Source organism: Homo sapiens, chromosome 15 (assembly GCF_000001405.40).
Source record: "Homo sapiens chromosome 15, GRCh38.p14 Primary Assembly".
In the NCBI taxonomy this organism is placed as follows: domain Eukaryota; kingdom Metazoa; phylum Chordata; class Mammalia; order Primates; family Hominidae; genus Homo; species Homo sapiens.
The window spans coordinates 88,634,110-88,656,686 of record NC_000015.10 but is presented as its reverse complement, the minus strand read 5'-3'; the positions used below and the strand labels follow the sequence as shown (position 1 = coordinate 88,656,686).

At 51.2% G+C, this 22,577-nt stretch overlaps 1 protein-coding gene across 7 annotated transcripts, besides 10 other annotated features; it reads right to left on the bottom strand.

Annotated features, from left to right (window-relative positions):
* Window positions 1-203: 203 nt before the first annotated feature.
* On the bottom strand, window positions 204-21,055 carry ISG20 (interferon stimulated exonuclease gene 20). Of its 7 annotated transcripts, NM_001303234.2 has the most exons (5): window positions 20,987-21,055; window positions 20,395-20,520; window positions 17,093-17,344; window positions 4,377-4,577; window positions 204-1,272 (listed from the first exon to the last, which is right to left on the bottom strand). In NM_001303234.2, exons 3-5 carry the CDS (start codon window positions 17,318-17,320, stop codon window positions 1,156-1,158), a joined length of 546 nt encoding a protein of 181 aa, NP_001290163.1. In that variant the 5' UTR covers window positions 17,321-17,344; window positions 20,395-20,520; window positions 20,987-21,055; the 3' UTR covers window positions 204-1,155. The 7 variants fall into 7 exon arrangements, 6 of the variants coding, with proteins under 6 accessions (NP_001290163.1, NP_001290162.1, NP_001290165.1 ...); NM_001303233.2 differs by lacking the exon at window positions 20,395-20,520; NM_001303236.2 differs by lacking the exons at window positions 20,395-20,520; window positions 20,987-21,055 and adding an exon at window positions 17,509-17,671 and having other exon boundaries at window positions 4,377-6,452.
* Window positions 7,932-8,693: an enhancer, noted in NCBI's record as "H3K4me1 hESC enhancer chr15:89191225-89191986 (GRCh37/hg19 assembly coordinates)". NCBI's record gives its function as "activates a minimal SCP1, AML or CMV promoter by ChIP-STARR-seq in naive H9 embryonic stem cells {active_cell/tissue: H9 hESC(naive)}" and the evidence as "EXISTENCE:reporter gene assay evidence [ECO:0000049][PMID:30033119]".
* Window positions 16,348-16,737: an enhancer, noted in NCBI's record as "active region_10033". NCBI's record gives its function as "activates an Ori minimal core promoter by ATAC-STARR-seq in GM12878 lymphoblastoid cells {active_cell/tissue: GM12878}" and the evidence as "EXISTENCE:reporter gene assay evidence [ECO:0000049][PMID:35858748]".
* Window positions 16,777-17,755: an enhancer, noted in NCBI's record as "H3K27ac-H3K4me1 hESC enhancer chr15:89182163-89183141 (GRCh37/hg19 assembly coordinates)". NCBI's record gives its function as "activates a minimal SCP1, AML or CMV promoter by ChIP-STARR-seq in primed H9 embryonic stem cells {active_cell/tissue: H9 hESC(primed)}" and the evidence as "EXISTENCE:reporter gene assay evidence [ECO:0000049][PMID:30033119]".
* Window positions 17,048-17,127: an enhancer, noted in NCBI's record as "active region_10032". NCBI's record gives its function as "activates an Ori minimal core promoter by ATAC-STARR-seq in GM12878 lymphoblastoid cells {active_cell/tissue: GM12878}" and the evidence as "EXISTENCE:reporter gene assay evidence [ECO:0000049][PMID:35858748]".
* Window positions 17,448-17,537: a silencer, noted in NCBI's record as "silent region_6791". NCBI's record gives its function as "represses an Ori minimal core promoter by ATAC-STARR-seq in GM12878 lymphoblastoid cells {active_cell/tissue: GM12878}" and the evidence as "EXISTENCE:reporter gene assay evidence [ECO:0000049][PMID:35858748]".
* Window positions 17,748-18,087: an enhancer, noted in NCBI's record as "active region_10031". NCBI's record gives its function as "activates an Ori minimal core promoter by ATAC-STARR-seq in GM12878 lymphoblastoid cells {active_cell/tissue: GM12878}" and the evidence as "EXISTENCE:reporter gene assay evidence [ECO:0000049][PMID:35858748]".
* Window positions 17,748-18,734: a biological region, named in NCBI's record as "H3K27ac-H3K4me1 hESC enhancer GRCh37_chr15:89181184-89182162".
* Window positions 17,756-18,734: an enhancer, noted in NCBI's record as "H3K27ac-H3K4me1 hESC enhancer chr15:89181184-89182162 (GRCh37/hg19 assembly coordinates)". NCBI's record gives its function as "activates a minimal SCP1, AML or CMV promoter by ChIP-STARR-seq in primed H9 embryonic stem cells {active_cell/tissue: H9 hESC(primed)}" and the evidence as "EXISTENCE:reporter gene assay evidence [ECO:0000049][PMID:30033119]".
* Window positions 18,118-18,237: an enhancer, noted in NCBI's record as "active region_10030". NCBI's record gives its function as "activates an Ori minimal core promoter by ATAC-STARR-seq in GM12878 lymphoblastoid cells {active_cell/tissue: GM12878}" and the evidence as "EXISTENCE:reporter gene assay evidence [ECO:0000049][PMID:35858748]".
* Window positions 20,275-20,569: an enhancer, noted in NCBI's record as "tiled region #1748; HepG2 Activating non-DNase unmatched - State 17:Gen3'". NCBI's record gives its function as "activates a minimal TATA promoter and a strong SV40 promoter by Sharpr-MPRA in HepG2 cells {active_cell/tissue: HepG2}" and the evidence as "EXISTENCE:reporter gene assay evidence [ECO:0000049][PMID:27701403]".
* Window positions 21,056-22,577: the final 1,522 nt, after the last annotated feature.

The window sequence follows — 22,577 nt, the reverse complement described above, 5'->3', positions numbered from 1 at the left end:
TGGCGAAACCTCATCTTTACTGAAAATGCAAAAATTAGCCAGGTGTGATGGCACATGACTGTAATCCTAGCTACTTGAGAAGCTGAGGCAGGAGAATCGCTTGGACCCAGGAGGTGGAGATTGCAGTGAGCTGAGATCCAGTCACTGCACTCTAGCCTGGGTGACAGAGTGAGACTCCATCTCAAAAAAAAAAATTGCTTGGACACCATTCCAATGATTTTTATTTAGTGGAAGCACTAAATTATTAATTATTATTAAAATAACAAGAATTCTGCCGTTGATTCTAGCGATCAGGGACAGCTCTGGTCCAGACCCTCCTCCCCATACAGGATGCCCTCCCCTCAGAGAGCCGAGCCCCGAAACAGAGTGCGGTGACTCTTCCTGGGGTGCCCTAGATGTGCAGGCAGTCCAGGGAAGAACAATTACTTATCGACACCTGGTGGGTGCTTAAGCTAGGACAGGCATGGTGCTGGGGGCTTTGCCTGCAACATCTCACAAATACCCTACGAGTTGCTAGAATTCTCATTTTACAGATGGAGAAACTGAGAAGTTCAGTAAACCACCTTAGGTCAAACAGCTACTAAATGACAAAGAGGATTCCAACCTACTTCTCTCTGACTCCACAGTTTGTTACCTTTCCTTCCTCATTTTACAAATAGGAGGGGTGACTTGCTCAAGGTTGCCGGGGTGGCACCCTTGACATTTCCTGTACCTTTGCTTCAAAGCCCACAAATGCTGTGGCACCAACTCAAGAGGAGCTGAATGCCACCCCAGGAAATAATGCCACCTCTCTGGGCATAAATGCACCAGGAATAGGGCTGGGATGCAACAGCAAAGGGTGGGATTAGTAATTAAGCCACATGCTACTTAGATTTCCAAGCCACATTTTGGACCCACAGGATTCAAGATATTAAGGAAATTGATACTTGCCCACCTCCCCAGCATAAGACTTCATTCCCTCCTAACATCACACAGAAATGGGTCCTGTCTACTGTTAACCCAGCTTGGAGAGAAGAATAAGAAGAGGACCCAGTGATGGCGTAGAGAAAATATAGAGCCACTTTACTATTAAAAATGTATTTTCCAAAAGCAAGGTAGTTGCTGTCCCAAAAAGCCGAAAGCCTCTAGTCCCTGCGGAACGGGCTGGATGGGGCTTCAGTCTGACACAGCCAGGCGGGGCAGCCCTCGGCGGGCTCGGATTCTCTGGGAGATTTGATAGAGCTCCATCGTTGCCCTCGCATCTTCCACCGAGCTGTGTCCAAGCAGGCTGTTCTGCAGACACAAGTATAGAGTGGGGACTTGGGATGAGGCTGAATTCAGAGGCCCCGTGACAGGGTCTTCCCTGGTCACATCCCGATTTCCAGAGTCCCCAGGTGGGTCAGTGGGTGAGAGTCTCTTGAGGTCTCTGACACTCTGGACTTAGGAGACTCAGCAGGTGGCTGGAGCTGGCCTGCCTTCAGCCCTGGGGCCAGTGGCACGAAAGCCAGCCTCCTGGGAACCAGGCTGTGCCTTCAAGTCACCTGCAGTCCCGCAAGGGAGGCAGAGGCTGCAGACTTGCTGTCAGACACACGCAGTGGCTGCAGCAGCTCTAACAAGAAGCTTCAGGACACTGAGGAGGGAGTGAGGAACTCCAGCTAGGGACACAGGGAAGGGCTGCTCAGAGAGAACACAAGGGCGTCAATAAATGGAAAGGAAAGGCCGCAAGCATTTCGGAGGCAGGGAGAGCATGTGCAGCTAAAATAAGAGGCCTGCGAGGGTGGGGGCAGGGGGTGTGTGAAAGGTGGTGTGGGGACGGATGGTGGGCCTGGATTTATCACTGAAGGCCTTGAATGCCGAAGTCGGGAGCCTAGACTTTATGGGGTAGTGCTATGGGAGTCGGGGGCCCTCGGTCCATTCAAGGGAGAAGCGATGACCATTTACCATGTCTTCCGTGCACTAGGCTGAAGTTAAACCTCTGAGCTGGATATGATTATTCCCCCATTTTACTGATGATAAAACTGAGGCTCACACACAAGCCAGCCAGTTGTGCAGCTGAGATGTGGATCTTGCAGAGGCGAGTACACAGGGCAAATCCTCAGTGCAGTCACCTTTCATCTCCCTTCGCATGCCCCGCTCAGCCCTGGTGTCCTGGCCGGTACCCAGCATGGGAGCCAGCGGGCTGTTGGACCTGGCTGCGTTTTCTTGGTGTCCCTCTGTCGAGAGAGGACTTCCTGTTCTCACAGGGGCTCCTTTTCCAGGCACTCCAGACAGGGTGTTGGGGACACCTGGTTAGACGGCCCAGCTCAAAAAGGCTTTTTCTTGTTGCCGTTATTACGCTGTATTGTTTTATTTTTTAATGTTTAGTTTTATTTTTTGGCTTGGACACCCTATCATTAATCAGCAAGCAGGTAGCATGGTGGCGTCGTCTGCGCTGTGCCTCTGCATACCTGCCCCTGTCACCATCCTTGACAGATGAGGAAACTGAGGCACAGGGAGGTTATGTGTTCTACCACTCTGCTCTATGGAGAAGGAAGCCAAGAACAGAAGCAGAATGCAGCACCAGCACCCTTTATTACCAAGTGGGGAGGTAAAGAGCCCCGGATTTGGAATCAGACAAACCCCAGGCTGCAATTCCCAGCTCCCCTGCTTATGAGCTCTGTGACCGTGGGCAAGTCACTTTTCCTCTCTGGGCCTCTGTTTCCTCTTCTGTGAAATGGGCCTGATTATACCTGCCTTAAAGGATGGAATGAGAGAACTGTGCCCAGCACCCTCCACAGGGCTTCATAAATGGCAGGGTCTTTCCTTTCCTGTGCAGCCCAGTCTACCATGCGCGCAGCTTGGCAGGGAGCCACAGGCCTGCTATTTCACTCCCTCGAGGGGCAGTAACACCACTGCCCAACTGTGACAGCTCTACCATGTTAGCTCCTTGTGTCCTGTGGGTCAGTTCTGGTCACAGTGATCAGTAGCACCACTGTCCATGTGAGCGGGGGCGGGCGGGAGGGCTGGTTTCTAGGGGCATCAGTGCAGGCAGGAGCTGCCTGGTGGGGTACTGAGCTTCTGGAACAACCAGGCTTAATGAGCCCAGGGACAGAGCCTGGGAGAAGGCCCTGGGTCAGGCTTAAGGCCCCAGACTGAGAGCCACAGAGCGGCAAGGGCTCCAGGAAAAGCCCAGCCTGGCCCTTATGTGCCTTATGTGCCTTGAGGCTAACAGGCCCAGACTCAGCCCTGTTCCCTACTCCGGACATGATTCCTACAGCTCTTGCCAGCAGGCTAGGGGCGGGCTCCGTGCTCCCCAGCCCCTCCCCGAGCCTCAGGCTTTGACTCACCTGGCCCCACTCTGTATGCCTTCTTCTGCCCTCCTTGACTAAGACCCTCCAGGCTCTGTTCAGATCTGGTCTCCTGCCCTGCCAGCCCCATCCTTCATCCTGCTCCCAGGGCACTGCCCTTCCCTCCGTCACACACTCCTTACCATGTGTGCTGATGATCTGGTTAAGGGCCACCTCCCAACCAACCAAGAGCTCAGGGACAGAGACGGGTCTTGCTCACCCTGCGTCTCTAGGATCTGGCCTAGAGCAGGCAGCAGGTGTTTAATAAAGAGCTGTTGACCTGAAGGGTCCCTGTGTACAGCCCTGGCTCTTAGTGTCTGGCGCCTCTCCCTCTGCCCTTCCCACAGGGTGAACTCCCAACCCCCCATATCCGTATGCCTTTTCCTGCCTGCTTTGCCCACCAGCCAGAAGTGCTGCGGAATCAGTGCCCAGGAGCAGCAGCAGCTGGTGGCTGATGGGAACTGGTGTACAAATATCCCAGTTCCCCGGCCCCTGCTGTGAGACATATCTGAGGTGAGGTGTGTGCTTTACATCATTGCCCAGAGTTCTATGGTGGGAGCAAGCTTCACTTCCCACAGGGTAACTGGCTTGATTTCAACAACAAAAGCAAACCTTTGTTGGGTGTTTTCCCTTCCCTGCCCTCATCCTCACTCTACCAGCCAGGGACCAGGCACAGCAGGACCTACCATCAATGCCTCAGGCAAGCTGCCCTGAGGTGTGCGAGGGCATGAGGGAGGAGGAGGAAAGGGAGGGGACAGGGGAGGAGGAAGGGGAAGAAGGGGAGAAGAGCGAGGAGGTGGGGGAGGGGGAGGGGGAGGAGGAAGGGGAGGAGGGCAAAGGGGGAGGGGAAGGGGGAGGAGGGGAAGGAGGAGGGGAAGGAGGAGGGGAAGGAGGAGGGGGAGGAGGAGGGGGAGGAGGAGGGGGAGGAGGGAGGAGAAGGAGGAGGAGAAGGAGGAGGGGGAGGAGGAGGGGGAGGAGGAGGGGGAGGAGGGGGAGGAAATGGAGATGGGTGAGGAGGAGGGGGAGGAGGGGGAGGAGGGGGGAGGAGGAGAAGGACGAGGAGGTTCTCACCTGGATGCTCTTGTGTAGGAGGCGCTCACTCAGCACCCGCAGGGAGACACGCCTGCAGTGGTCCAGCTTGGCCTCACGCCACAACAGCCTGTCAGTGGACGTGTCGTAGATTGTGTAGCCGCTCATGTCCTCTTTCAGTGCCTGGAAGTCGTGCTTCAGGTCATGACCCACCACCAGCTTGCCTTTCAGGAGCTGCAGGATCTGGCCAGGAAGACATGTGCCCACCCCTACATGACCCAGCATCTTCTGGGTGGGGCTGGGGCTGGCAAGGGAGCAATCCCTCCTTGACTGGCTGTGTGACCTTGGGCAAATTATCAGTCCTCCCTGGGCTTCAAATGTATCATCTTTGAAAAGAAGAGATTGCACTAGGACCCTCCTCACACCTGATAGTTTCATTCTGTGCCAAAAGCCCACCTGGACTCCTTCAGGAGCTGAACTGTGTAGGAGCAATGGTTAGTACATCCTGAGTATTTCCCAGGTGCCAAGCGTGCCTCAACATACGTCATGTATATTATGTTGTTTAATCTTCCCAACAATTCTATTATGGCAGGCAGAATAATGACCTCCCAAAGATGTCCACACCCTAGTCCCCAGGATCTGTGAATGCATTACCTGGCAAAGAGGAATTAAAGTTCCGGGCAGAACTTAGATTGCTAATCAGTCGACCTTCAAATGGGGAGATCACCTGGCCTACCCATGTGGTCCCAACATAATCACAAGCCTCCTTACATGTGGAGGTCAGAGTGAATCCACATGAGGAAAACAGGCTGTTGCTGGCTTTGAAGATGGAGGGAGGGGCCGTGAGTTAAGGTATTCAGGCAGCCTCTAGAAGCCAGAAAGGGCGAGGAAATGGATTCTTCCCCAGAGCATCCAGAAGGAACCTAGCCCCACTGACACTTTGATTTTAGACCAGTGAGACCCACGCTGAACTTCGAAACTACAGAACTGTAAGAGAAGACATCTGTGTTGCTGTGAATCACTAAGTTGATGGCTTCCTTACGGCAGCCACAGAAAACTAACAGTGAGGAGGGAGCACTGCATTTAACTGAGTTTTACAAAGGAAATATCTGAAATGCAGAGGAGTGACATGCCCAGGCTTACTCTGATGATTTTAAAACAAGTTTGCAAATTCCTTGACACTCTTCTTAAAAAAGATGGAATCAAACTCCCCTCCCATTGCATATGGGCTGGCCTGTATGACTTCTGACTTCTCTCTGGGACCGCAATTCTATAAGAAGTCCGGCCACCAGCCAGGCACGGTGTCTCACGTCTGTAATCCCAGCACTTTGGGAGGTGAGGCAGGTGGATCACCTGAGGCCAGGAGTTTGAGACCAGCCTGGCCAACATGGTGAGACTCTGTCTCTACTAAAAATGCAAAAATTACCCATGCGCCGTGGCTATTCCCAGTTACTCGGGAGGCTGAGGCAGGAGAATTGCTTGAGCCTGGGAGGGAGATTGCAAGTGAGCTGAGATCGTGCCACTGCACTACAGCTTGGGCGACTGAGCACGACTCCGTCTCAATAAATAAATAAATAAATAAATGTCTGGCCACCCCAAAGCCACCATGCTGGAAAGACCACGGGGAAAAGCCACCGAGATAGTGATGTGTCCAAGGCAGGCCAGCACCAGCCACCAGACAGGTGGGTGAGCAAACCTTCCAATGGTTCCAGCCCCCAGCCTTCAAGGTGCCTTAACTGACGGCCTGTCCTGCTGCAGAGCACCTGCCCAAACTGCAGGTGGCCGAGCGAAATAAGTATTGACATTGTTTGAACCGGTAAGTTTTGGTGTGATTTGCCAAGCACCATTTGATAACTGGGACAGTCACACGGCTAGTTAGTGGCAAAGCCAGGCCTTGAAGCCAGTGGGATGAATCCAGAGCCCGCCTGCCACTGCCACACTGAGCCAGAAGAGTGAACGACCACTCCAGGCCTCCAGCAGCCCAGGCGCCCAGCTGTGACTGCCCCAGCCCCGCGTTCCTCGCCTCGCCTCCCACATGGACAGCCTGCCCTGCTCTGGTCACACAGGCCAGTCAGCTTGCTTTCACTCAGCTGCCGTTGGAGAGGATGGGAAGGGGACCTGAAAATAGAACAGATGTGAGCTCTATTAGGGAAAGGGGCGGCTCGTGGCTAGTCCAGGCCCACTTTGGACAGCTCTAGGACAGCCTTCGTCTCCTTCTCTGCATGTAGCCCACGACCTTAGCCTGTACACCAGGAAAGAGCCTTCTGGTGCCTAACACCTTCCCCGTAGCCTGCTTCTCCTTCTAGATAGCCAGCGGCCTCCTGGAACATCATGTGTTCCCTTTTACATGTTCTCCCCTGGCAACCACAGGAGACTGAGGCTCAGAGAGGAGATGTGACTTGCCCAGGGTCACTATGCGGGAAGCAGTCTGTCCATCCACTGTCAACAGGCAGTGTCACCAGCCTGCCCCGCGGTCCACATGGTCTGGTTGGAGGCCTTCTCTGGACAGAGCTCACGCTCGACTTAGAGGACTGGGGAGAGTGTGCTGGAGAATGAAGGGGCGCTGCTCCTGAACCACACCAGCGCTTCTCAAACTTGAGTGTGCTAGAGGTCACCTGGGAAATGGCGACAAAACTGAGGCTTTAAAAGATGACAACAGGCACACGACCTCAGAGTAGCAGCTCAAGGGAAACTCTGTGCAGAGGAAACCACCCAGCACGCAGCGGCGGGCAGAAATGGCACGGGGCGTGGAGAGATGTGGGTGTGTGGGCGGCCATGGGTCATGTGTCTTTTCTTGCTAACATCCTTTGTGCTCCTGAACAATGTGGCCTGTTTTCCCCATCTAGGGGCTTGGCTCAGGCCCAGTTCACACAAAGCCCTGAAGGAACTCATCCACCATCCCAGAGGCAGCCACAGCTGGGCACAGACGTAGAAGGTACGAGTCATCATGGTGTGGATTCCCAGGAAACCCATCACTTCCCGAGCCTGAGAGTCTGGAGAGGGGAAGTGGGGGTCTACATGAGGCACTATGTGACTCACCACGAGACAAATAGAATAAGAGGGAGAGGACAAGCCGAGGAAAGAAGAGGAAGAAGGGAAAGAACAGAACCATCTATTTAGCAAAGAGACACCACTCTTTGGGACAAAGATTCTGGGAAGGAAGAGATGCTGGAACTTGCTGTGTGACCTCAGGGATGTCAAAGACCCTCTCTGGGCTTCAGTTTTCCCATTTGTAAGGTGAGGGCCCAGACTGGTGAGGCTTGAGTGGCCCTTTAGCAGCCAGGGCTCCACAGACTGAGGCAGGTCTGAAAAGGGAAGGAGTCGGGCACCTGCTGGAGCCCAGGAGTCGGAGAAAGGCACTGGCAGGCTGGCCTCGGGGCTGTGTGACCTGCTGGCCACAGGACCTGCCCTGAGTCAGTGTCATGAGGCAAGTGTGCCAGACTTTGCCACTTTCAAACACAGGGGGAGGAGTCTCTCAAATTCCTGGAAAGAACTGGGGTGGGGCTGGGGGATGGGACATTTATTGATCTCTTAGCAGCCTGGCACTGTGCCAGGCACTTTCCTTACCTCCTCAGGAAGCTCCTCAATGAGGTTATTCTTAATTCCATTTTACAGAGGAGGGAGCCCGAGATCAGAGAGATTAAGGGGCTTGCCCAAGTCACACAGCTAGTCAGCTGAAAGCTGCAGTGCCGTGTCTGGATCCACCTGACCCCATCATTGTTACTGTAGTTGTTATTATTAGCACAAGGACCAAGGGACAGGGCACTACCAGGCACACAATGATAACGGTGCAAGGCGGTGACTTCCATACCATCTGACCCGCCAGCAAAGCGGGGCGCAGGGCGGTGTGCACCCAGGTCACAAGCAGGGGAGTGCCAGACCAGGTGCGGCTGTCTGCCTGCACACACCTTCCACTGTGTTTCCACTCTACTCCAAGTATTTCCCAGATGTGCCTGATCCAAAAATCCAGGAGGGCCAGGCCCTACACAGACCTACTGAATTGAAATATCCAGGGAGGGGTGTCAGCAACTGTTTCAGGGGATTCTTCCCATCTAACAAGTCTGCACATCTCTGCACTGAATCCCGCTGAGCAGTCCAGAGCCTGCTGCCTCTACCATGCATTCATTCATCCATTATACACTAGTTCACGTACCCATTCATTCATTCTTGGCTGCCAGGAGAGGAGGCTATGAGTAAGGGGCCCTGAAGAATCTTGTTCTTACAGAGGACAGGTCCCTTACTATCACCTTCTGGAGTGGCTCCAGCCCCATTCTTTGCTCTTGTCCCCTGCCAAGCTCCCCTGGTGTCCCCGCCCCCCGGCTAGTGCCTGGTTCCCACAAGGCCACTTACCCTGGGGCAAATCTGGATATTGAAGCCTTCCTCCTTCATCTGGCTGAGACCCAGAGGGACCTGCCAGGTGGCAGGGCCCCAACAGGACACTCCCACCTGTGCAAGGGCTACCAGGCTGGCTACAGCTGAAACCTCTCCCTGTTCACAAGCTACCATGACTTCCCTTCTGTCTGCATCTGTGCCCGCGACCACGGTGCTTCTCAGGGTGGATGCCCCTCCTTATGCTGGGTTGACGTTAAAAGAGAATTCACTCACAAAACTGATTTACAAGTTACTAAAAATTACTGTTAGATTTTTTAAAAAGGAAGAAGAAAAACATTAACTCGCCAGGTGGGACCCATGAATCTGAGCAGTGATTTGTATCATAGCTTCCTGTATGTCCTTAGGCAAATCACTGCCCCTCTCTGGACGCCAGTCTCCAGTGCATGGATTCCCTCCTGTGCTGACAGTCTGATTTGTGGCGCTCTCTTATAGACCAGGGTTTCTTAGCCTTAGCACTGTTGCCATGTGGGGCCAGATACTTCTTTGTTATGTGTGCGTGGCAGGGGAGGGAGCTGCCCTGGGCATTGTGAGATGTTTGGGAGCTCTCTGGTCTCTACCCACTAGATACCGGCCACTGTGACAACCAGAAATGTCTCCCAACATTGCTAAATATCCCCTCTATATAATGGTCAGACACAGAGATGTCAGAAGATCATAAGCACTTACATTATAAAAGTAATGTCGCCACATTACAATAAATAAAAAGGGGTGGAGTGGGGGGGGGGTCCCACTCACATCAGTGGCCTAAAGCACTCCTGGGTGGACTTGGGACTCCCCGGAGCCTCCTGGCCACCATGGGCTACTTGATTGCTGGCTGCTGGCTGGGCACACTCACTACTCCTTACTGGGAGGAGACGGAGAGGTGAGGGGCCTTTGAAAAATGCCTGCATAGCCAGGCGCAGTGGCTCATGCCTATAATCCCAACACTATGGGAGGCCAAGGCAGGAGGATTGCTTGAGGCCAGGAGTTCAAGACCAGCACGGCCAACATGATGAAACCCCATCTCTACTAAAAATACAAAAATGAGCTGGGCATGGTGGCACATGCCTGTAATCCCAGCTACTCAGGAGGCTGAGACACGAGAACTGCTTAAGCCTGGGAGGCGGAGGTTGCAGTGAGCCAAGACTGCGCCACTGCACTCCAGCCTGGGTGACAGAGCAAGACTCTGTCTCAAAAAAGAAAGAAAATAATGCCTGCATGAAACCAAAGGCTGGCCAACCCTAGACTCACCTGAGAGGTGTCACCTGGCCTTGTGGGATCTCATAAAAGGGCTGTTAGGCTTCTGCCCTTTGGGGGCCCTCAGCACATTTGGGGGCCCGTGAGCCTGATCTGTCTTTGGGATTAAAACATTATGGATGATAAATGGGATCAAACTGCCTCCGGAGCCTCCAACAAATTGACACTCAGTGTCCTCATCCACAGAGACAAATAATGACCATTACTGGGCCACATTTCCACCCATGTGCTATGCAGGACCTCGCCCCTTACATACATTGGACACTTAGCATTTATAGAGTGCATTCACACACACTGAGCATGGGATCTGAACACCACAGCTCCAGCTCAGGAGCCAGAATCTGAGTCTCTGCTCTATCCCTTCCTTGGACAGCTTACTCAGTCTCATACCTCAGTTTCCTCATCTGTAAAATGGGAGTGATGGTACTAGTTCAGGGTTGTGGTGGGGAGTATGAAACGTGCTCAGAATAGCACCTGGGCCACAGGGCTGGATACACCTGTACTATTTAATCATCTCTGTGTTACAGAGGATCCTACTTAGGGGAGCACAGAGAGGTTGAGCAACAAGCTAGAGGACACAGAGCAATCCAGAGGCAAAGTTGGGATTGGATCCACATGCAGCCCAATCTAAAGACAGTGTGCTTGCTCCCTGCCCATCAGGGCTATGCATCACCACATCTCAACAGCAAAGGCCAACACAGGGCAGAGACAATTTTACTCCACGCAGCTGCCAGAACTCTTTTGTATTTATGAAAATCAGTTCAACTTCAATCCCACAAACATTCTCAAGTCACCTGTGTGCAAAACACAGGTTCCAGTCTGGGGGCAGATAAAGTGTATAGTAAGAGCTGTGGAAATAGACAGATGGTGTGAATGAATGGACGAGCTATGATGTGCATCAGCAACAGCAAGGAGGGCCAGAGGCTAGGGACCAGTGGGGCAGCGATGGTGGGCAGGAGTGGGTAAGTGCATCATAAAGGTCTCTTCTGGCCTGGGGCTGCCAGAATGATGGTATTTCTAGGGAGAGGGATGGGGGATAGGAGAGACTAGGAGTTGGCTGAAATGCATGGTAGGCAATGGCTGAGCTATGAGAGAAAGCAAGAAAGGCAGATAGATAGGGGTTTGGAGAGCCTGACTGCTAGGTGCTGAGCTGGGGGAACCTTAGGCAATAGGGAGCCATGGGAGATATTTTAATAGGGGAGGCGGCGATGATCTGAGCCAGGTTTAGGGAAGTTCTCTGGCAGCAGAGTGGGAGAGAGCAGCATGCACACAAGATACAGCCGGCAGAAAACGAGGGTCAGCATCGAAGACCGCAGTTCCCAAGAGAAGTCGGAGAGGGGACTGGGTTTCTGCCCTTCTCTCTTCATGGGTGCAATTAGCAAACATCAGCTGTGAACCAGGCACCGCGCTTAGGGCCACAGTCCATGTCACGGCATCTGACCCGCATGAGACCAGGGAGGAGGCACTAGGAGTTCTCTTTTATGATTAGGAAATGGAGCCTCAGAAAGGTTCAATAACTTGCTGACAATTGTACAAACCTATAGGTGATGGAGCAGGAACTGAGAAGCCCGGATGTGGTTCCAAAGACCTGCCTGGTCTTTGAACCCCTGCCTCATCGTTCAGTGGCTATCAAGTGCCCAGTCTGAGCAGGGTTCCGTGTCACACGCTTAAAGAGTGGAGTTGGCATATCCTCTAACTGAGAAACAAAAGCATTTCTGCACCAAATGTGGATGAAGACTGAGGCGTCCAGGCCCCGAGGCCAATGCTCAAGGGCGCCCAGGGAATTGCGGTTTTCCAGGTCTGGATGTACAGGGACTCGGAGAGGTACTGCTCTACTGCCTCCTTTCTCCCTGCTCTGGGCTCCTCTGCCCCTTTCTGTCTGTCTGATGGGGAGGGAAATTGGGGACAAGGAGGAAGGAGAGGGACATACTGCCCACCCTGACTGCTCAGTGGGAATCTGAGGGCGGGGAGCTCCTTGTGGTGTCCCTGGGCCTCCCATCAGCACCTGAACAGACTCCCACCTCTTCTTCATGTTGCCCTCACCTTTCTGGTGACTCTCCAAACGTTTTCTTCCTTTCCTAACGTTTTCTTCACTCCAATTCTCTGTCTGCCAAAGATGATGCAGGCCCTTGTAACTGCTCCCTAGGGCCTCTGACTCTTTTTTTTTTTGTCTTTTCTTTTTTTTTTTTTTTGGAGACTAAGTCTCACTTTGTCGCCCAGGCTGGAGTGCAGTGGCACGATCCCAGCTCACAGCAACCTCCGCCTCCCGGGTTCAAGCAATTCTCCTGCCTCAGCCTCCCAAGTAGCTACATTACAGGCACATGCCACCATGCCCAGCTAATTTTGTATATTTAGTAGAGACGGGGTTTCACCATGTTAGCCAGGCTGATCTCAAACTCCCGACCTCTGGTGATCTGCCCACCTCGGCCTCCCAAAGTGCTGGGATTACAGGTGTGAGCCACCATGCCCAGCCTCTGACTCTTACCGTCATCTCTTTTCTCGCTCCCATCTATCCTGCATGGTATTCCCATTCTAGTTTTCTTGAAACTGGTTTTTATCCTCCCATGCATTGCTCAAGAATCTTCAATGGCTCCCTATGGCCCACTTAATTCCCTACATAGACTCTCCTCCACCCCTTTCAAATACCACCAGCTTCACGGAGTCTTTCCAGAACCAAGATGATGTACTGTGACCATCTCCAGGGTTCCCACACTGTACTGTTGATACAGGTACAGCATCCCAAATACAAATGCTCCAGAATCCTAAACTTTCTGAGTGCCAACATGACGCTCAAAGGAAATGCTCATTGGAACATTTCAAATTTCAGATTTTCAAATTTGGGATGCTCAACCAGTAAGTATAATGCAAATATTCCAAAATCCAAAAAAATCCCAAATCCAAAATCCAAAACCCTTCTGGTCCCCAGCATTTCAGATAAGGGCTACTCAATCTGTACTTCTAGAACAGTGTTGTCCAATAGAAATATAATGCAAGCCACAGATGTAATTTTTTCTTTTTTTGAGATGGGGTCTTGCTCTGTCGCCCAGGCTGGAGTGGCAGTGGCACGATCTTGGCTCACTGCAACTTCCGCCTCCTGGGTTTAAGCGATTCTCCTGCGTCAGCCTCCTGAGTAGCTTGGATTACAGGCACCCACCACCACACCCGGCTAATTTTTGCATTTTCAGTAGAGATGGGTTTTCACCATGTTGGCCAGGCTGGTCTTGAACTCCTGACCCCAAGTGATCCACCTGCCTCAGCCTCCCAAAGTGCTGAGATTACAGGTGTGAACCACTGCACCTGGCCCACAAATGTAATTTTATATCACCCAACAGCCATGTTTCAAAACGTAAAAAGTAAATAGGTGAAATTAATTTTAACGTTTTATTTAACCTAACATATCCAAAATACTATCATTTCAACAGGTAATCAATATAAAAGTTATTGAGACATTTTATGGCTCTTTTTAATATTTTAATTATTATTATTTTTTAATAGAGACAGGGTCTCTCTTACCCAGGCTGCAGTGCAGTGGCATGATCATAGCTCAGTACAGCCTCAAACTCCTGGGCTCAAGCAATACTTCACCTCAGCCTCCTCGAGTAGCTGGGACTACAGGTATGCACCACCATGTCTGGCTAATTTTTATTTTATTTATTTATTTTTTTTGTAGAGGAGATCTCACCATCTTGCCCAGGCTGGTCTCAAACTCCTGGGCTCAAGCCATCCTTCTGCACTGGCCTCCCAAAGTGTTGGGATTACAGCCATGAACAACTGCATCTGGCCTGTCTCTTTTTTAAATACAAGGCTTCAGCCAGATGCAGTGGCTCATGGCTGTAATCCCAGCACTCTGGGAGGCTGAGGTGGGTGGATCACTTGAGGTGAGGCATTCGAGACCAGCCTGGCAACATGGTGAAACCCCGTCTCTACTGAAAATACAAAAATTAGCCAGGCGTGGTGGTGCACAGCTACTTGGGAGGCTACTTGGGAGGTCAAGGCGGGAGACTCCCTTGAACCTGGGAGATGGAGGTTGTAGTGAGCCGAGATCGCGCCGCCACACTCCAGCCTGGGCGATAGAGCGAGACTTCGTCTCAAAACAACAACAAAAAATCCAGTGTGGACTTTACACTTTCAGCACATCTCAGTTCAAACCAGCTACACTCCAGGTCTGAATTCAGTCTACTAGCAGCATATGGCTGCTGGGGACCCCACTGGACAGCATAGTTCTAGAGACTGTAAGCCTGAGTTTGGATTCCTGAGCAGTTGTCCCATATTCCATCTATCTTAACAGCGTAAGTTACTCAGTTTATGGGTTGAACTGTGTCCCGCTCTCTCAAATTCATATGTTAAAATCCTAACCCCCAATACCTCAGAACGTGATTTATTTGGAAATAAGGTCGTTGCAGATAGAATTAGTTAAGGTAGGATGAAGTCACACTGGAGTAGTAGGGTGGGCTCATAATCCAATATGATTGGTGTCCTTTGAAAAAGAGGAAGTTGGCTGGGCACAGTGATTCACACCTGTAATCCCAGCAATTTGGGAGGCCAAGGAGGGCAGATCACCTGAGGTCAGGCATTCAAGACCAGCCTGGGCAACAGGGCGAAACCCCGTCTCTACTAAAAATAAAAAATTAGCCAGGCGTGGTGGCGGACACCTATACTACAACTTGGGAGGCTGAGGCGGGAAAATCGCTTGAACCCAAGAGGTGGAGATTGCAGTGAGCCGAGATCGTGCCACTGCAGTCCAGCCTAGACAACAGAGTGACTCTGTCTCAAAAAAAAAAAAAAAAAAAAAAAAAAAGAGGAAGCTAACCAGGTGCAGTGGCTCATGCCTGTCATCCCAGCACTTTGGGAGGCCAAGGCAGGCGGATCGCTTGAGTCTAGCCTGGCCAACATGGTAAAACCCCATCTCTACTAAAAATACAAAAATTAGCTGGGTGTGGTGGCTCGTGCCTGTAGTCCCAACTACTCAGAAGGCTGAGGCAGGAGAATCACTTGAGCCTGGGAGGCAGAGGTTGCAGTGAGCCCAGATCCTGCCACTGCACTCCAGCCTGGGCGACAGAGCAAGACTCCATCTCAAAAATAAAAAATAAAAATAAAAAGAGGAAGTTTGGACACACACAGAGAGAATGCCATGTGAACATGAAGGCAGAGATCTGAGTGAGGCATCTATAAGCCAAGGTACCCCAAAGCTTTGACAACAACCCCTAGAATCTGGGAGAGGGGCAGGGAACAGATTCCCACTCACAACCCTCAAAAGGAACCAACCTGGGCGACACCTGGATCTCAGACTGCAGCCTCCAGAACCCCGAGACAGGACATTCCTGTTGTTTAAGCCACCAGTGTGTGGTGCTTTGTTATGGCAGCCCTAACAAATAATCAAGCGAGCCCCAGTTTCCTCATCTGTAATATGGGGATAATAAGGTAAACAACCATGGCCAGATGCGGTGGCTCATGCCTGGGACTTTGGGAGGCCGAGGTGGGCGGATCACCTGAGGTCAGGAGTTCGAGCGAGACCAGCCTGGCCAACATGGTGAAGCCCCATCTCTACCAAAAATGCAAAAAAAATTAGCCGGGCATGGTGGCGGGTGCCTGTAGTCCCAGTTACTTGGGAGGCTGAGGCCAGAGAACCACTTGAATCCTGGAGGCAGAGGTTGCAGAGAGCCAAGATCATGTCACTGCACTCCAGCCTGGGTGACAGAGAGAGACTCCGGTTAAAAAAAAAATAATAATAAAACAGACATACAAAAAAACAATCAAAACAGTTAACTTTTTTTTTTTTCCTGGCTCTGTTGCCCAGGCTGGAGTGGGTGCCATCTTGGCTCACTGCAGCCTTGACCTTCTGAGCTCAAGTGATCCCAGCTGCTGGAGTAGCTGTGACCATGGGCATGTGCCACCATGCCCGGCTAATTTTTGTACTTTTTTTTGTAGAGATGGGGTTTCTCCATGTTGCCCAGGATGGTCTTGAACTCCTGAGCTCAAGCCACCCATCTGCCTCCGCCTCCCACCGTGCTGGGATTATAGATGTGAGCCACTGCACCCAGCCAATAGCTAACATTTTTTTGAGTACCTATTTAGGCACTCTATCTAGACCCTTTCTCAATCCTCGCAATAACCCAACAAAGTTGCTACTACTATTATCCTTCTTTTCTTTTACTGGGTACAAAGAGGTTGAGTAACTTGTCCAAGGTACCTTAGCTGTTAAGTAATGGGAACTGAGATTGAAACTGACCCTCTTAACTCTGCGTTAACAGTTCCTGAGGACCTGCCTGGCAGGGCTGTTTGTGAGGAGTGAATGAGCTCAGGAATGGCCAGTGCTTAGGGGAGCGGCCAGTGCATAGTGAGTGCTCAGTCAATAGTAGCTATTGTTGTCATTTCATCCCCAGCACCTGGAGCCTGGCACGGATTGGGTGTGTGCTGCTGAGGAACCTGTGTTCTTCTTGGACTTCCTCAAACCCTACCATGGTGTCTAGAAACTGACGAGCTCGCCTGCCCTTCTGAGATTTCCCAGGGGTGGCTAACCGTGTTGACACCTTTAAGTTTTGCTTTCCACTTAGTAATTCAGAGAAACAGAAAGTGAGACGGGGAGATGACCTCACAATCAGCTAAGAGCAAGAGTGCAGGAAATCCCTGGACCACGAACTCAGGATTCAAACTGAGCAGACAGCCTACTCTGGGTCAGAATGCTAGCCTGAGAGCAAGGTCCTCAGCCCGAGGCTCAGCCTGTTCTCCAGGACTGGGAGGGCCAAAGCCTCTTGCCAGAGCCTCAGCCAAGAATCCTCTCATTTCCCCACAGGTCTCACCAGTGGCAGCCTGGGGTAGAGGGAAGAATGGGGAATGTAGACCCCAAGTCACTGTGTGGGGGAACTCAGTTTCCCCATTTTAAGACCGGCAAGTTGGACCAGATCCAGATAGATGCCCCAAAGGCGGCTTCCAGATGTGAGTCTATGGTTCTCTGAAGACAGGAAGCCTTCTCCAGGATGTGATGGAGACACCACCGGCTTTCTCCCAACAGCAGTGTGGGAAATCTTACAAGTGGGGTCACAGGTCACAGATGGGCACCAGGGAAGAGGGGCCAGGGAAGTGGGAGAGGGGTTATTTCCAAAGCCCCTGCTGGCCGGGCCTTCACTCACCTCTAGCCTGGCCACGGCAAATGGTGTGGCCCCCACCATGTGCTGAGGGGTGACCCCGCTGACCCGGGTTCTGTAATCGGTGATCTCTCCCTCAGGCCGGATGAACTTGTCGTACAGCACAGCACCGTGGACGTTCACGAGGCTGCAACGAGCCAGGCCACTCTCCCGGTGGGGCCCCAGCCCCACCATCTCGCAGTCCATGGCCACCACCTCACGGCTCCCAGCCATGTTCCTTGGGGACCCTCAGAGATGCTGGAGAGAGGGGTATGGGGGGCGGTCTCACGCTTGGGCAAACCAAGCCTCCAGGTGTCCTCAGCCAACCCCAGCTGGCCTTACCCTCCGCCCTGCCCTTTGTTTCCGACACCACCTGGCCACAGTGGAAGCTGGCCTCTTGCCTCCCCCATCCCCTGCCTTACCCTGCCCGTGTGTCCCAGGGCCTCTGGCCTGCCCCGCAGCCTGGGGACCGGGAAGGCCCCTCCCGCTGCCTCCCCAGCTGCTGCTCCAGCTCCCGCTCTCACCTGCCTGCCTCTGCGCCCTCAGCTCACGTCTGCCTCTCTGCTGCCACTGCTCAGCTACTGCAGCTGCTCTCAGCGGTGACTCATCTCTAACTCCAAGCCGGCATCGGCATCCCGACCCTGTTTCAGTTTCTAGTTTGTTATCAAGTGAAGTCAGGGGCGGAAGGCCGGGCACGTGGGCTGGGCTGCTCCATCTCCTGGGCTACCGGCAGGTGGGGAGCTCAGCTCCGGGCCGAGTCAGGGCTGACGGAGCTGGCAGGCTCCATGTCAGGGTGCCCCTCCTTTGCCCCGGCCCTCCCCCTCCTCAGATGACGCATTTGACGTTCGTGGAGTGGATTGCAACATCTTTGTTTCCTTTCTCACCCTCCGCCCAGAGAATAAACATCCCCAGGACTGGAGCTCAGGGAATGTCCCACAACTAACTTCTGGAGCCTGCTACCAGTCTGATACTCAGTGGTCTCTTATGGGGTAGGGAAGCTGGCTCTTGGGACATACAGGCTTTTATTGGAATGGGCAGGAGAAACTTGTGGTGGGAGTGGCTAGCCCCCACTTCCAACCCAGGGAAGGCAAGGAGCAGCGAGGGAGCCCTTACAGGCCTCCGTGGGTTCCAGATGCCTCAATGAGCTCTGCCTCCAGTGGGGCTGACTCTGTGAGGGTGAAGGAGAAGCAGGCCTTCGGGGAGGCCCCACCAGCCCGGCCACACTTCCTTGGGTCCACACTCTCCCAGGCTAGGACTTTGAGCTCTTAGAACAGTGCCTGCCAGATAGGGAGGGCTTGGTATTTAGTGAATGTCAAATGAGTTACAACTGGGGCAAAAAGAAAATCAACTTTCAATGAGGGAAGTGCTTGTCTTTCACTGTGGTGAGATCCAACAATAAGCTGAGCGTTACCCACGCTTGCCTCCTACCCCAGATCTGTGCAGAATCCACACTGATCCCTCCAATCTGACTGCCTCCCAGTGTCATGAAGATCTGTGGTTTGAAAAGTAACTTCCCCAGGTCTGTAGTATTTTCACCAAGTGGGATTTGGATGCCCAACTTTAACAAACCTCAAAAATAAAACCAAAGACTGAAATACGTCTTCATGAGAAAGCCCTGCTCCTGCTTACTGTTCACTGGATGCAAATTTGAGGTGTGAGAGTTTTTGATTCCCATCCTGAATAAGCAACTTTTGCTTTAATTCAGACTGTGTGGGGACTTTATGCTTTTCAAATGCATAAAGGTTACCCTGATTTAGGAGGAAATGAAGTAACATTCCTGTTACTTTATGGAAACATGCACTTAAAAAGTAACCCCCTAAAGATCCAATCATAGGTTTGATTCTACAATCCCCATAGGACCCCCCAGTGCCCCGTGGTGCTCCTCAGACAGGAACATGTTTGCTGCAACCCCTCATACCTCCACCTCTGCTCACCTCCTCGGGTCTCAGTCAGAACACATCCCACTCCTCCAATATTTTCCCCATGGTTCTGTGCCTGCTCTGTCTCACCTGAGCTGCCTCTAATTCTTACCGTTTCCCCTTTCCTGTGGAAGTCCTACCCTAGTCCTCACCTGCCTGGCCTGTGCGGCCGCAGGAGTCGCTCCCGGGTCTCCCACCTCCATCTTCATGCCCTGCTCAAAAGGGTCCTTTGAGTCCTACCATGTTACATTTCCCAAAATCTAATCTCTTGTACTGTTCATCACCGAGGCACTTCTCTGCTCAAGAAATTTTGTGATTTCCTGATGTCCAAAAAAAAAAAAAAAAAAAATCAAACCTCAACTCCAGGCAGTTTCCAGACCCTCTTCCATCAGTCCACCAGCCTTCCCAACCTCATCTTGCATCACTATCCAATTTAAGGCCTTTCTTTTAGGTTTAAACCCACATCCAGGGCTTTGGTTTATGCACATGGTGACTTCTGCCAAACCATCAGCAGGTTGTTCTGAAACCCCCTGCATCTCCCAAGGACTAGGTCTGATGGCCAGAGGGACCAGTAAGATCAGGTCTCTGCTTCAGGTGGAAGAGACAGGAAGTGCTACAAAGGTAAGCCCCTCTCCCATGCCCTTACCATTCCCACCTCCCACACTTCCAACCACACTGGCTCTTTCTGTCTTCCTCCAACATTCTGGTCATGCTCCTGTCTCAAGGCCCAGGCATTTGCTGTCCCCTTACTCTTGAAAGGTCTTCCAATGTGGCCTGGGGGGTCACATTGCTCCCATTCCATGACGTCTTTCCATGAAGCTGTCCCTGACCTCTCTATTTAAAACCGCACTTCCTGCCAGGGCGATGGCTAGTGTCTATAATCCCAGTTACTCCAGGCTGAGGCGGATTTGCTTGAGGCCAGGAATTCGAGACCAGCCTGAGCAACACAGGGAGATCTCATCTCTAAAATTAAAAAATAATCCATTGTGGTGAATCACACCTGTAGTGCTAGCTTCTCCAGAGACTAAGCTGGGAGGATCAATTGCACCCAGGAGTTTGAGGCTATGACAGTGCCAATACACTCCAGCCTGGACAGCATAGGGAGACCTTGTCTTTAAAAACTAAAAGTTTACTTCCTATCCCCTTCTCTGGCCTTTTCCCATAGGAATTAGCACCCTCTGAAACTGTATTTTACTTGTTCATTTACTGTTCCCCCTGCCATCTGTTTAGTTCAAAACTGGGGCCCCAGCACCTAGAACCCTGCCTGGGTCCAGCTGAACTGTTTTTCAAGTGTATTGTGTGCTCTGATGTTGGACGCCAGGCACCGGTGGCCCAGTACCCAGAGAGAAGCCCGACCCCAGCCAGGGTTTCCCGGTGCCGACGCTCTACCTTTAACTGGCGTCACCCATCGGCAGGCTACGCCCACAAATCTTGTTGGATCAGGTGACAGTAGGTGAGTCACTCAGGGCAAACTTGTCAGCCTTTCAAGGCACACATCCAGCTACAGCTGACCACCTGTAATGACCATAACAGGTACAAGTCGGCCACTCTGTGGCCCTCTCTGGATCCACAGCACTGGCCTCAGGCTGAGACAACTCACACTGGAGGGCGAGAGGCCCCTCTCCCCACAAGGGACACGCTCTCCCAGTCCAGCCATCTCCAGTCCTGCTGGGCATGTACGCCTAAAATGTGTATGTGTATTCCTAAATTGTGGTTGGCCCTTGAACAACATGGGCTTGAACTGCACAGGTCCACTTACATGCAGATTTTTTTTCAATAAATATATTGGAAATTTTGGGAGAGATTTTTCAACAATTTGAAAAAACTCAGATGAATTGCACAGCCTAGAAATATCAAAGAAATTAAGAAGCTACTTATGTCATGAATGTATAAAATACATGTAAATACTAGTCTATTTTATCACTTACTACCATAAAATATGCACATCTATTATTAAAAGGTAAAACTTAACAAAACTTACCTACTTACAGACCACACGTGGCACCATTCTCAGTCAAGAGAAATGTAAACCAATGTCGGGATGCAGTCTGAAACCGTAACTGCATAAAATTAACTATAGTACACAGTGTGCTGTTAATGTAGCCACTTCCTGTTGTTACTGTAGTGAGCTCAAGCGCTGCAAGTATCTGCTTAAAACGTGTGTGACACTACCCATCCCCGCTTCAGCAGTTCATATCCAGGACATCTGGTATCCCAGTAAGATGGAAAAAGTGATTTCTTGCAGTTTTTGTGGTATTTTTCATCATGCTTAGTGCAATACTGTAAACCTTGAATCCCACCATGGGACCCATATGAAGTGCCACTACTGATGCTGGAAGTGCTCCCAAGAAGCAGAAAACAAGTCGTGACATTACAAGAAAAAGCTGAATTGCTTGATATGTACCACAGATTGAAGTCCACAGCTGTGGTTGCTGCCATTTCAGACAGATGTTTCATCTCATATGTAAATACAGTAAAAACCTTACAATACCGATAAATACAGTAAATATATTTTATCTTCCTTATCATTTTTTCTCTCACTTACTTGATTATAAGAATACAGTATATAATACATATGACATATAAAATATGTGTTATTTGGCTACCTGTTATCAGTAAGGCTTCCAATCAAAAGTAGGCTATTAGTTGAATTTTTGGGGAATCAAGTTACATGCACATTTTTGACTGTGTGGGGAGTCAACACCCAATCCCTATGTTGTTCAAGGGTCAACTGTATATACTAAAGGTTGAACCATAAGAAACAGTGTGGCCGGGCACGGTGGCTCACGCCTGTAATCCCAGCACTTTGGGAGGCCAAGGTGGGCAGATCCCATGAGCCCAAGGGTTCAAGACCAGCCTGGGCAACATAGAAGACCTCGTCTCTACTAAAAATGTAAAAAATCAGCCAGGTATGGTGACATGCACCTGTAGTCCCAGCTATTATACTTGGGAGGCTTAGGCTGGAGGATCACTTGAGCCTGGGAGGTTGAGGTTGCAGTGAGCCAAGACTGTACCACTGTACTCCAGCTTGGGTGACAAGTGAAACCCTGTCTCAAAAACAAAAACGAAAAGCAAAAAACTAGAATATTAGCAATTTCATGTGGTTTAATACATGTAAAACTATGCTGATACATATTACAAAACACATGTTAAGAAAATTAGTTAAAAAGGAACTGTATACCAAAAAGCATGTAAGAAGATGCTCAATATTACTAATGATTAGGGAAATGCAAATCCAAACCACATCATCTCATACCCATTAGGATGGCTGCTATGGAAAAACAGAAAAAAATGTTGGCAAGGACGTGGAGAAACTGAAACCCTTGTTCACTGTTGGTGGGAATGTAAAATGGTACAGCTACTAAAGAAAACAGCACAGCAGTTCCTCAAAAAAAACTATAGGCCAGGCGCGGTGGCTCACGCCTGTAATCCCAGCACTTCGGAAGGCCGAGGCGGGTGGATCACCTGAGGTCAGGAGTTCCAGACCAGCCTGGCCAACATGGTGAAACCCCGTCTCTACTAAAAATATAAAAATTAGCCAGGCGTGGTGGCATGCGCCTGTAATTCCATCT

Bases quoted from the DNA above. Each gene is read 5' to 3' on its own strand.
- ISG20 (NM_001303234.2), bottom strand. From the start codon at position 17,320: ATGGCTGGGAGCCGTGAGGTGGTGGCCATGGACTGCGAGATGGTGGGG. The intron at 4,578-17,092 runs GTGAGTGAAGGC...CTTCCTGGCCAG, and splicing joins TTGCCGTGGCCAGGCTAGAG to ATCCTGCAGCTCCTGAAAGG. The intron at 1,273-4,376 runs GTGAGAACCTCC...TTGTGTCTGCAG, and splicing joins TCCTACACAAGAGCATCCAG to AACAGCCTGCTTGGACACAG.